Source organism: Homo sapiens, chromosome 3 (genome assembly GCF_000001405.40).
Source record: "Homo sapiens chromosome 3, GRCh38.p14 Primary Assembly".
In the NCBI taxonomy this organism is placed as follows: domain Eukaryota; kingdom Metazoa; phylum Chordata; class Mammalia; order Primates; family Hominidae; genus Homo; species Homo sapiens.
In genome coordinates this window covers 184891984-184905876 of record NC_000003.12, presented here as the reverse complement: position 1 = coordinate 184905876, position 13893 = coordinate 184891984, and the positions used below count along the sequence as shown (strand labels likewise).

At 35.9% G+C, this 13893-nt stretch overlaps 1 protein-coding gene across 25 annotated transcripts in view; it reads right to left on the bottom strand.

Moving 5' to 3' along the window:
• The window catches only part of VPS8 (VPS8 subunit of CORVET complex), a 240449-nt gene that overhangs the window by 146738 nt on the left and 79818 nt on the right, over positions 1–13893 (bottom strand). For 23 of the 25 annotated variants that reach the window (XM_047447824.1, XM_024453426.2, XM_047447823.1 and 20 more), the window contains 3 exons: positions 10952–11174; positions 7223–7312; positions 4905–4956 (listed from right to left, as the gene is read on the bottom strand). In XM_047447824.1, coding sequence (XP_047303780.1) covers positions 4905–4956; positions 7223–7312; positions 10952–11174 — 365 coding nt within the window. Of the gene's footprint in view, positions 1–4904; positions 4957–7222; positions 7313–10951; positions 11175–12464; positions 12644–13893 lie in introns of all 25 variants that reach the window. The other 2 variants (NR_146113.2, NM_001349298.2) reach the window with 1 other exon arrangement.

Sequence of the window (13893 nt, the reverse complement as noted above, 5' to 3'; positions counted from 1 at the left end):
AAAAATATTTATTAATTTGTTTGGTTAAAAAAAAACCTCTTCATTTTAATTTGCATTTCTTACATTACTAATGAAGTTGAACACTTTCTCAATGTTTACAGGCTAAGTTTCTTTTGTGAATTGCCTTAGTGTTGTCTATTCTTCTATTAAGGTGTTAGTCTTTCTCACAGATTTTATTACTTTTTATATATTGATATTGAGCCCTGAACCAAAGAATTAAAAATATTTTCCTGTTCTGTCAAAAAAAAAAAAAAAAAAGAGCTGAGCTTCTACCTAAAGAGCTTCTAACCCAAAGAACTGAAGAAAGCAAATAGACTAAAGTTGAATGCATGAAATCAAAATTGATTCTATGAAAAGATCAACAAAACTGACAAACCTTTAGACAGACTAAAAAAAGAGAGAAGAGTCAAATTACAAAAATTAGTAATGAAAGAGACATCACTACTGACCTTACAGAAATAAAAGGAATTACAAAGGAATACTATCAACAACTATATGCCTACATATTAGATAATGCAGATTAAATGGTCAAATGTCTAGAAATTTAAAAACTACTGAAACACTCAAAAAGACACAGATAATCTGAGTAAACTCCAACAAACAAAGAAACTAAACTAGTGCTATGGTCTGAATGTGGCACCCAAAACTCATGTGTTGAAAACTTAATCCCCAATGCAACAATGTTGGGAGGTGGGGGCCTTTGGGGAGGTGTTTAAGTCATGAGGGTTCTACCCTCATGAATGGATTAATGCTGTAGTAAAAAAGGGCTTGATGGACTGGGTTCACTCTTTTTCCACTCTTCTGCCAAGTGAGGACACAATGTTTGTTCCCACTTGCCCTTCCAACTTCCGCCATGTGAGGACACAGCAAGAAGGCCTTCATGAGACACTAGGTGCCAGCACCTTGATTTTGGACTTCTCAGGCACCAGAATTGTAAGACGTAAGTTTGTGTTTTTTATAAATTACCCAGTCTTAGGTATTCTGTTACAGCAGCACAAAACAGAGCAAAACAACTAATAATTTTAAAACTTCCAATAAAGAAAAGCCCAGGCCCATATGGCTTCATAGTGAATTCTGTCAAACATTAAAAAAGTTAACACTAATCCTACACAAACTCTTCCAAAAAATAAAAGAGAGAATACTTCCCAACTCATTCTATGAGGCAAACATACCAAGATACACTCATAACAAGACTGGTATTCTTTTGATAACAAGATATCAAAAGAAAACAAAACTGTAGAACAATATCTCTTATGAACATACACACACAAATCCTTGAGAAATACTAGCAAACTGAATCCAGCAACATATTTAAAAGATTATATACCAAGTGAGATTTATCCCAAGAATGCAAGGTTGGCTTAACATACAGGATCAATTAAACAGATCATATCAATAAAATAAAGGACAAAACCCACAAGATAATCTTAATAGCTGCAGAAAAAGCATCTGATAAAATTCAACAGTCTTTCATGTTAGAAACACTCAAACTGGGTAAAGAAAACTTCATCAAATGGCTAAGACCATCTACATCAAATTTAATGATGAAATATTGAGTGCTTTCCCCCTAATATCAGGAAAACAAAAAGACGTCCATTCTTGCCACTTCTGTTCAACACTGTATTAGTGGGTGTAGTCAGCCCAATTAGGGAATAAAAAGAAAGGCATCTATATTAGAAAGAAAAAATTATAATTATTTTTATTTGCAGAAGACATCTATATTTTCCTTAAAAAGTTCTAAGAAGTTAAAAATTAGCACTAATAAATGAATACAGCAAGGACGTAGGATACAAGATCAATATACAAAAGTCAATCTATTTCACACCAGCAAATCCTGAAAATAAAATTAAGGAAACAATTTCATTTATAACAGCATCAAGGTGAATAAAATACTTAGGAGGAGGAAAAGGAGTATATGACCTATACATTAAAAACTGCAAAACATCATTGAAAAAAATTAATGAAGACCTAAATAAAATGAAAAGATGTGCTGTGTTCATGAACTGAAAGATTTGGTAATATTAAGACAGTAATAAAATTGATGTACAGATTCAAAGCAATCCTTATCAAAATCTCAGCTGCCTTTTCTGCAGAAAAGGGGAAAGCAAAGTGACTTTAAGACCAAAATAAGCTGGGTACAGTGGCTCACACCTGTAATCTCAGCTACTTGGGAGGCTGAGGTGGGAGGATTGCTTGAGGCCAGGAGTTTAAGACCAGCCTGGGAAACATAGCAAGACCCTGTCTTGAGAATTTTTTTTTTTAATTCAGCAGGGCATGGTGGCCTGTAGTCCCAGCTACTTGGGAGGCTGAGGAAGGAGGATCACTTGATCCCATAAGTTTGAGGCTGCAATGAACTGTGATCACACCACTGTACTCCAGCCTGACTGACAGAGTGAGACTCCGTCTCTAAAATAAAATTAATTTTTAAAAAGATAAAAATAGAAAAACATACCACATTCATACATTAGAAAATTCTACAGTTTTAAGATGGCAATTCTCTCTCCCAATTAATCTACAGCATCAATGCAATCTCAAAGAAAATCAAATGAGCTTTTTTAAAAAAAACTGATGAGCTGATTTTAACGTTTATATAGAAAGGCAAAGAATCTGTACTAGATAAACCAATTTTGAAAAAGAAAAACAATATTGTAGGACTTAAAATATGTGATTTTGAGACTTACTATGAAGTTACAATAAGCAAGACAGTGCATTACTGGACAAGGATAGACATACAGCTCAATAGGACAGAATAGAGAGCACAGAAACACATCCACAGTTATATGGTCACTTGACTTTTCATAAAGGTGTCAAGGTAATTCAATGAAAATAAGATAATCTTACCAATAAATGGTAAGACTTATGGGAATAACTGATAGCTGTATGGAAAAAAATCCTTGAACTTTACCTTACATCATTTATAAAAATTAACTCGAAACGAATTATAGACCTAAATGCAAGAGTTAAAGCTATTAAATTTCTATAAGAAAATGTAGGAGAAAATATTTATGACACTGAATTGAACCAAGATTTCTTTTTTTTTTTTTTTTGAGACAGCATCTCACTCTGTTGCCCCAGCTAGAGTACAGTGGCGCGATCTCGGCTCACTGCAACCTCCGCCTCCCGGGTTCAAGCGATTCTCCTGCCTCAGCCTCCTGAGTAGCTGGGACTACAGGCACGCGCCACCACGCCCGGCTAATTTTTGTATTTATAGTAGAGATAGGGTTTCACCATGTTGGCCAGGCTGGTCTCGAACTCCTGACCTCGTGATCCGCCCACCTCAGCCTCCCAAAGTGCTGGGATTACAGGTGTGAGCCACAGCACCCGGCTCCAAGATTTCTTAAACAGAATAGCAAAAGCCTAAATGACAAAAAAAAATTAATAAGATGAACTTCATGAGACGGAGTCTTGCTCTGTCGCCCAAGCTGGAGAGCAGTGGCAAGTGGCACGATCTTGGCTCACTGCAACCTCTGCCTCCTGGGTTCAAGCAATTCTTCTGCCTCAGCCTCCTGAGTAGCTGGGACTACAGGCACCCACCACCACACCCGGCTAATTTTTATATTTTTGGTAGAGACGGGGTTTCACCATATTGGCCAGGCTGGTCTTGAACTCCTGACCTCATGATCCGCCTGCCTGGGCCTCCCAAAGTGCTGGGATTACAGGCATGAGCCACCATGCCTGGCCAGCTTGGGAACTTTTAACAATTCAATAATATGAAGACAACCCCAGGTCATCTCCACCAATTAAAAAAAAAAAAGGGGGGGGGGGCTAAATATTTAAACAATTCACAAAAGAAGATATGTGAATGGCTAAACAAGCACATGAAAAAATGATTAACATCACTAATGATCACAGAATAAAAATTAAAATCACAATGAAATACCATTACTCATTAGAATGGCCAAAGTTTTAAGAAGATTTTAAAACACTGACAGTATCAAGTGCTTGCAAGGATGTGGAGCGGGAACTCTCAAGTATTGTTGATGAGAAATGGTACAGCATTAGGAAAAACCATATAGCAGTAGCTTAGAAAGTAAAATATATATTTACCATACAATCCAGCCATTCCAACCTTAGGTATTTGGCCAAGAAAATGAACACATTTGTCCACAAAGAAACTTACAGCTAGGGGTCAGGAATGGAGGGTAAGAGAACAAGGTGAGATACTTGAGGTAATGAAAGTTTTCTATATCTTGACTTTATCAATATGAATTCAATATGAATATCCAGTAGTGATATTGTACTTTATTTTTGCAAGATGTTATCATTGGGGAAACTATGTAAAGACTATATAGGATCTCTATGTCCCATTTCTTACAACTGCATGCAATTATCTCAGAAAGTTTAACTAAAAAAAAAAACAAAAAAAACCCAAAAAAACCTTAAAAAACTTGTCCACAAATGTTGTAGCAGCATTATATTATTCATAGTAGTCCCAAACTGAAAGCAACTCAAATATCCATGAAGTGGTGAATGATTAAACAGCTTATGGTATATTCAATCCATGGACTATCATTCAGTGGTAAAAGGGAACAAAATATTAATATACATAAAACAACATGGATGACTCTCAAAAATATTATGCTTCATCCACGTAAAGTGAAAGAAATAAAACACCAAAGGTTACATAGCACATAATTCCATTTACATGAAGTATAGTGACAGAAAGTAGATCAGTGACTGCCCAGAGCAGGGCTGTGGGGAAAGGATCAAGTACAAAGGGGAAGGAGGAAACTTTTTAGTGTGAGAAGCTATGGCTCCTTCTGCAGCTTGATTATGGTGGTGTTACATGACTGTACATGATTACCAACATTCACACTGCACACATATAATTGGCCAATTTTGTAACATTTAAATAATACCTTAAATACAGGAAAGCAAAAAATTAAGGCTTAGAAAATAAATACCTGTTAGTGTTTTTCCTGCATTCAGAGGAGGAGCAATGACTCTGAAAAGTTTCTGCATTAAAATTAATAGGAAAACAATCATCATCATCTCAAATGATATTATTTAAAAAATAAGAATCTTATGCTATTCATCACCATTCGCTAATGGAATTAGTCATTTACCATTAAGATTAAATATGAAAACCTTTAATCTGTACATGAAATGTTTAGAAGGCTCACTGAGAAACAATCACTGTTGTCATATTCCTCACCGAAAAAAATCATTTAATAAATACCAGTTATATAAAGGGCTTATCTGAGATTATAATTTTGATATAAAGTATCCTTTGGTTCTTAAACGCTTTATTCTTTTAAAAACTAGTAAGCAAGTGAAAGGATTTCCCACTAAAGTGGTAATAGAGATGATTTTAAACTGAAAACATCCAATCAGCAGCCACAGAAAGAAATATCATCTAAACTTAAGCAGAGTCTCCCAAATATTTAGCTCCCCCTTCAGAGGGAGATTCCTATTTGGGAAAAAACTGATCCTTAGCACCAGGAAATGCAAATTCAGCTGCCATTAGCATCAAAAAGCCCAAAAGAACTTTCCATGCTTTCCCACTGAAGACCTAACTACGTGCTACCCCCATTTTTGTGAAGCTGGTATATAAACGTCTACCTCTGGCTACTCAGCAGAGATGCTTATTACTGAGTGTTCCTGCACGTATGTGAATAATCCTTATCTTTTCTCCTGTTAATCTGTATATTGTCAGTGAATTCAAAGCCTTCAATCCTTTCCCTGTACCTCCCACCATTGGGACCTAAATTGGTAAAGAAAAAGTTTTTCCTCCCAACTCAAGGCACTATTCTTACCTTAGTCAAAACTAGAAAAAAGGAAAGATTTCAGAGACTATAGTAGTCATCTCAAATGTGATGACACGCTTTCATTCTAAAAAATCTAGACAATTTCAAGAGACAGGACACCTTCTCTTAATTCAGACCTCTTTAAGTACTAAAATAGCTAAACTTTAAACACTTCGAACACAAAACAAGGTAACCTCAATAGCTCAGTGTTCCATTTGAGATGTATCAGTATAAATGCAAACCAGATTTTATTAATATGAGGAATACAAAACCCATGCAAAACAAACATTTCAAAAGCAACGTTAACAGAAATACAGTAATCATCTTGTCAATGCAGAATGCATCAAAATAGAATCTGTTTTGAGGGATTATTTTGAGCAAAACTAGAAACTGTATTAATTCTTCTGAATTGTGGCTTAGTTGTGGCATGCAGGGAGGCACTGGACCTCACTGAGAAGGCAGCTGATGAGTCTTTTTCAGGGAACTACTGAACCTTAATGAAGGAGCAGCCGAGAGGTGTTCAAGACAAAAAAAAATCCTTGAGATAACAGACAATCAGGGCCAAACCCCCAAAACCAGAGGTAGAAGGGTGGGGGACTAACTTTAGAAACTAACCGAAAGAAGAGAGGTGCAACCAAAACTGAAGGGTTATGAATTAGAGGGGTACTCGCCCTACCAAACTGAATGTGCTTAAAGAAGCCTACCTATCATAGAATGCTGACTTCTTAATACTGAAGATAGTTTTGGATAGCAATAAATTAGCTAAATGGTTGACTGGATGCCTTTGGCAGAGGCCTGCTTTTTTTGAGGGACACTATAATAAAGCATTGGGCTAGGAGGGCACTACATGTGTCTACAACTCATTCTCCACTATTCTGCCATCAAACTGAAAACAAATAAGAAAACAGATATGGGGTTTGGTTCTTCTAAAAGTAAGTCCAAATGTTTTTTAGATTCTCTTGGTAAGCAGAATAAAAAATTAGAATGAATGCTATAAAATTCTGAGTCAGTAAAAGTGAAAAATGATCAATTAACAAATAATGGCCTCCTACCATTTTCAGGAGCCTTCCCCAGCAGAATATATCTACAAATAGCATTACTCAATAGTACATTGATTATATAAAATAATTATACAAAATAAATTTTTCGTATCTTTAGAAAAAGTTACTGCAGTATCAAAAATTCTTAGGAGAAAAACATGTAAAGCCTAACAAGCAAGCATTAATTTAAATTTTATCTATTGTTCCCTGGTATTTAAATACCTACTTATTTAGATAAGAAAGCAAGCAATGGCAGAAGGTATAAAATTGAAGACTATCTAAAAGCCCCAAGCTAAAATGGGTTCAAGGTCAATAAATATATAAGAATTTTTAAATAATTGGATAAAACTAGAAACTATTAAAAGCAAATGGAGAATAGGAGAAAAAAGTTAGTAGACAAAATTAATTACGTATCCAAGTTAGGAAGTATCTTACCTCCATTGGACTAATAAATTCATTCATGCCTCTGTTGTAGACATAGATCATAGCATCATATAAACGATTTTCCCAACACATGAGAACTACCTGTGAAAAGGAAAAGCCACTTGGTCCATACAATTCAGTCACCAATTATTTTCCTTAATGCTTTAAGAATGGGAAAGGTCTTGAATGCTCTTCCCTAATTTTTCTTGTTTCTTCTCTGATAAAAACTGAAATTCAAGTACTCAAACACAATGCAAGGGTAAGAGCTGCTGTAGGTGAAATTACTACTTTTAATAGTACAACGCTTACTTTAAGACATTCACAGTGTCTAATTTTGTTTCTTCTCTATCCTTCCCCTTTCTATATTCATTTTACCTTTGATCAATAGTTCTACAAATATTTATTGAACACATATTCAGACCCTCTCATAGGCACTGGGAATAAAGTGTTAGATAAGATAAATCCAGACTTTGTCCCTACCCTTATAGAACTTACATTGATCTTGGACACCCAGCAAAAGGACGTAGGGGTACAAAATGGCGTGTGAGTTAAGACTTGGGGAAGATACTCAATTACACAAATAATTCATTATTTACAAATGTGGTAAGTGCTATTAACCTAACTGGTCTGGAGTATTCAAAAAGTCACCCCTAAAGGAACAACATTTAAGGTGGGACCTAAAGAATGGATATATGTGAGCCACAAGCAGAAGTGCCAGCTAGGAATTCTGTAGGAAGAAGCAAGAGTGAGGATGAAGGACCTAATGTGGAAGTGAGCTTGAAGTGCTTAAGGACAGAGAGAAATCAGAGAAAATATTTAGGAAGAGGACTAGATATGAGTTTGAGTATACAGTACTCTATATTCTGTCCCTATGACAGCTATATAATACTATAAACAGTGGCAAGAGGAGAAGGGCAGAAGTCGGCAAAGGAGAATGACAAGAGGGAGTGAGAGGTAAGAGGGAAAATGGAAGTGAGATGTGCTGGGAGAGTCTTTCTAGAAAAAGCCTGTTCTGGGACTCCTACGACTCCCTCTCTACCCCTCTCAGCCAGTACCATGATCATGCATCTCTTCACTGATGACTAACACATTTACAGCTTCAGCCCTAACCTCCCCTCTAACCCATACATATATCCAACTACTTAATTCGACATCTTCGCCTGAATGTCCAGTAGTGATCTCAAAATAAAATGGCCAACCAGAACTCCTGATTTGTCTCTCAAACTTAGACCTGCCTTAGTCTTGCAATCTTCTCAAAGGAATCACTCACTATTCACCCTGTTTCTCAAACCAAAAACTAGTCATCATCCTTAAATTCTCTCATTCCCACACTCTCACACCCTCATATCCCAATTCACCAGCAAATCAATTCTATCTCTAAAACATCCAAAATCAGGCCATCTCTCTTCATCTCACTGTTACCATCTCTGGCCAGAATCACCTCCTGGGCCAGCTTCCTAACTAGCCTCTTTGCTTCCTCTGCACTTGGCCCTCATCCCTGATTCTGTTACCCCTAAAGCACAGGGTGCTCTTGCTTAAAACTTTCTAATGATTTTTCATAGCATTTAGAATAAAATGGAAAGATCTATACCTTGCCCTGCAAGATCTACCTCTGTACCAAGCTCCAGATCCGCTTCCTTTTGAACACCCGAGACAAAAATCCTTTTTTTTTAAATGCTAGCTGTTGCTTTTACCTATAACAATCTTCTCTTCCAAGATCTTTGCATTACTGATTCCTTCTTGTCATTCAGCTCCCAAGACTCAATGCTGCCTCCTCAAAAAGACTATCTATAATTAGCCAATCTAAGGTAGCCTCACATTATCTCTTTACTATATTTCCCAGTTTGATTTTTAACATAATACTTGTATTGAAATACTTTCTGGATTTTTGTACATTAATCTGTTCATTGTCAAACTTTTCTGCTAAAATTTAGGCTTTATGAGAGGACAAGCCTTGTTCACTAGGGATACTGAAGCATCCTCAGAGCCTGACATTCAGTAAACACTTCTTGAATTAACGAACAAATGCTGTTAAAAGAGTAAATAAAATAAGGATTGAAAAATACCATTTGGTGTAGTGGACAAAGAGGCCATTGTTGACTCTAGTAAAAGTAAGATTGAAGAGTTAGGAAGTGGGGGAAAAAAATGAAAATAGCAACCTAGACAACGCTTTCAAGAAATCTAGCTGTGACTGGGAGGAGTGAGATAGGGCAGTAACCTAGGAGGAAAAAGGGGAGAAGTCTTGATATGGAGACATAAGAAACTGAGGGGAGCATTTTGAAATTGTTGTTTAACATTAAAAAGACTAGAGTATATTTACATGGTAGTGGGGAAAGACTGAAAATGTTATAAAGTATTATAAATAGAAGAAATTAAATTTTTTTCCTGTATGTGATAGGTAGGCAAAACTAGATGGACAACATGCTCTCAAGTCATCAGACCTATTGTAAGACTATGAAGACTATGCCAAATTAGCCATATAATACAAAGGCAGGTATAAAACAGGATCTGGCTTTACTTTGCAAACTCACAGCCATTCATAAAGAGCTTCCAGAAATAAAATAATCATTTTTCCAAACCCTTAATTTCTATGTGATTTTGCACACTTTCAAAAAACTTTTGGTCTAAGACTTTTGTTAGTCTTCCATATTCAAGCTCAAGAGGGCTTGGCACCTTTGCAGGAGTAACATGCTCATTATTAGGACTAATGTGGAATTAAAAAATCAAATTGTGGGCCAGGCTCAGTGGCTCACACCTATAATCTCAGCACTTTGGAAGGCCACGGCAGGCGAATCACTTGAAGTCAAAAGTTCGAGACCAGCCTGCCCAACATGGTGAAGCCCCGTCTCTACTAAAAATACAAAAATTAGCTGGGCACAGTAGCGTATGCCTTTAATCCCAGCTACTCTGAAGGCTGAGGCACAAGAATCGCTTCAACCCAGGAGGTTGCAGTGAACCAAGATCACGCCACTGTACTCCAGCCTGGGGGACAGAGCGAAACTCTGTCTTTAAAAAAAAAAAGAGAGTGGGGGGGGGGGGAGGAGGAGGGGGGGAGGAGGAGGGGGGGAGGAGGAGGAGCAGGAGGAGGAAAAAATAAATTGTGAAATGTCTTAGGCCAGAATAAATACTGCACCTCAATTAAGAAACTTATTTCAAGAAACTCAATTAAGATAACTTATTGTGAGAACCTCAGATACAGCGGAAGTATTTATCAAACAATGGCTGGCTATTCATGCTAAAAAGTTCTATAACTTGCCTGTTATATACCATGCTCTGTATTTCAAAACTCTGGACATACATACCAGCTCTTTTTTAAAATGGCATCATATTTTTCAAGGTAAAAATATTCTACAATTCATGAGAAAGCAGCCATAGTTGAAAGTCACTTGCTCGATGAAAATTATATTAGTGAACGAACAAGCTGATAAAGAGGGATCAGTTAACAAGCATTTATAGAGCAACTTCTAAATGTAAACTCTATACCAAGTGCTACTGGGGATGTGAAAGAAACAGAAGACAACATAATCCCTGACTTGCAAGGCAATTATATTCTAGCTTTCACTTAAATACAGTCCTAGGAAATATATTGACAAATACAAGTTTATAATACATCTTACAAAAAGTGCTCAATAAATAATTACGGTTCTTAGAAGGCAGGGTCAGGCCTGATCAGTGAAGTAAGTGTTATCAATAAAGGAATGAAGTTTATTTCATAAGTTAGTAGACTGTCTATAAACTCACCTGCTGAATATCTAGGCTGGTGATATCCATATGTACAATGAGCGCTTCCACATTTTCCATTAATTTTTTATCTTGGAAATGAACAATCAAGTCTTTCATTACTTGGGGTGTGATTCCCACCAATTTATCACTTAAAATATATGGCTCAAGGCACTCCAAAAATACTCCTTTGGCCACTGAATTCTCACTTAATTTATCATACATCTGACTAAATAAAAGATCCCTGTAACAGAAAGGGGGGGAGAAAAACTTTTAGGAACATGCCAAATATCCATTAAATTTAGTCTCCCAAATATATCTCATCTTTTCCCTACTTCAACTTACTCATGAGTTTATTTAAAATGGCAATAATATTCACAGAGTTTTATACTGCAAAAACTTTGTGTGTGTGTGTATATATATATATATATATATATACGTGTGTATATATACATATATATAAAATCTCAATTAATCCTCCCAACACTTCTTTAACAAATCAGAAAAGGTAAGATAAATTGTTTGCTAATAGTGACATATCTAACAAACAAAAGAGTCAGATTTTGAACCCAGCCTTCCGGCCTAAATCCTGTGCTCAGTCTATTGTGGCATATTGCTTCTTAAAGACAACACTGACATGGGAACAGATAATTGGGTGGACATCATGAAGTAGGAAAAAAACAAAAGGACTACTCATGATTTATCCTTCCCTCCTTCTTGGTATTTAAATATTCCTAGCTGACCTGCAGTCAATATGCTTCTTTGTCTAGCTATAACCCTTTGCATCCCAAAATGTTTGGCTAGTGATTATTCATGGAAGAAGAAGAAAAAAAATGTTTAATCCTTAAAATATAAACCTAGAAACAATTTTATTGCAGAAACAAAAATTGTTTTAAATTACTTTAAATGTCAACAACCTCGACAATGTTTATTTCATATTTCTGGAAACAACCCATAAATAATTTGAGTTATATTGACCACAGACAGAATTCGGAATTCTGTTTTCATACATTATATGATAAGCATTATTCTAAGTTGCTATTTATTCTTCAAAATTACCATTTTGTCTAACACAATACTTCAATATGCTGAAAAATCAGAATATACTTAAGTATTCCTGTACTGTTGGATATATTACTTATTTCCAGTATTTCAAGTGATACTACAATGAACATCTACATATAAAGCCTTTCCCATTTGAAGGGCTTAATTCCTAAATCAGTCAACTTTTAGAAATTTATCTTAAGTGAAAAGATATGAAAAAATCTGTGGCACTTGAAATGTGCTATGAAATTATCTTCAAAAAGCATCACAGCATCAATTGACACTGCCACCCACAATGTATAATCCTACCAGTTTCACCAGACAATTGCAAACTTGGTTTTTCTCCCCTGACAATTTAATAATTCTTTTATGACCAGCAAAATTGAATATTTTCCATGTTTTCATTTATAAATTGTATTGCCTTGTATCATTCACTTCTTTGTTCATTCTGTTTTTTAAAAAATACAAAAACTGTGTGAATTTTATTTACCTGTTGAGATTATTTACTTTTTCCTAAATGTGTAATTTCTTTATATGTATATCATGTCAATTGTAGAAAGTGGTAAATGGTTTATTTATTCACAGGTATGGTCTTTCATGACAAGTTCCACAAAAACATCAAGGAAGCTCCTGAAAGGACTAGGATGGGGTTTTGACTCATCTGAAGTCCTGGAAGGGGACAGATGGAAAACAGACTGGCTACAACTGCACCAGAACTCCACACCACCCTGCAATTAACAGCATTTGCAACATTCTAGGGAAAATCCACAGCCATTTATTTTTTTCTCAAATGCACAAATGTAATTTTACATCATTTTTCCCCTCCATTTCATATTTATCAAAATATTTTCATGTCAGTTTCATTTGAATCAATAATTCATCATATTTTTGTGATGACCGATTACTAGCCAAGCAAAACAAACAGAGATTAATGGAGTTTTACTGTAAGAAAGAAAAAGTAACAAGATAACCAATGATTCAAAGAAAATGTCAGATTTGGAAGCCCTTGTACTCTGTAATGTGTTGTTAAAAGGAACATGCTAAAAAAGATAATTATATATTTTAGTTTAGTACAAAAAGCCTTGGGGAGAGAATTAAAGAGAGCTAAAAATTCAGTAAAGGCTACAAAAGTTAACTAAGAAGGCACTCCTGTTTACAAACAGCATGTGATGCTGCTAAGATAAATGCAAAACCACACGTTTCTTTCTTAACCAATCAGAAGCTATAATATAAAGAAGCAAGAAAAATAAGGCTCAGCAACTCCTATTTGCATCTCTACCTTAAAATAAAATTTTTTTTATATTCAACGACAAATTCTCATCATTCTGGGAGAATACTTATTAGTGCATCAGGAAAGAGGGGAGATAGAAAAGTACATACAGGCTAGGCCGGGTGCAGTGGCTCATGCCTGTAATCCCAGCTCTTCGGGAGGCCAAGGCAGGCAGATCACTTGAGGTCAGGAGTTTGACACCAGCCTGGCCAACCTGGGGAAACCCCGTCTCTACTAAAAATACAAAAATTAGCTGCGTATGGTGGCACGCGCCTGTAATCCTGGCTACTCAGGAGGCTGAGGCAGGAGAATTGCTTGAACCCAGGAGACAGAGGTTGCAGTGAGCCGAGATCGACTCCAGCCTGGGCAACTGAGCGAAACTCTATCTCAAAATAAAATTAAAAAAAAGACAAGTACATACAAAAATTTGTAGCTCTCATATTTTTTTCTATATTTAGGCACTATTCTCCAGGGTGCTATCTTTGTTTCCTAGAAGGGCTGACTTCAAAATTGATGTTTACCATTTCAAGCTTAGCCTCCCTATGGCCAGTGTAACAGAAAATCGATCATGAATAATAGAGGACCAAAGAGATATTTCTACAAACTTCACTTTATAACAGTACTCACATTAAAGGTATTTTTGAAGTTT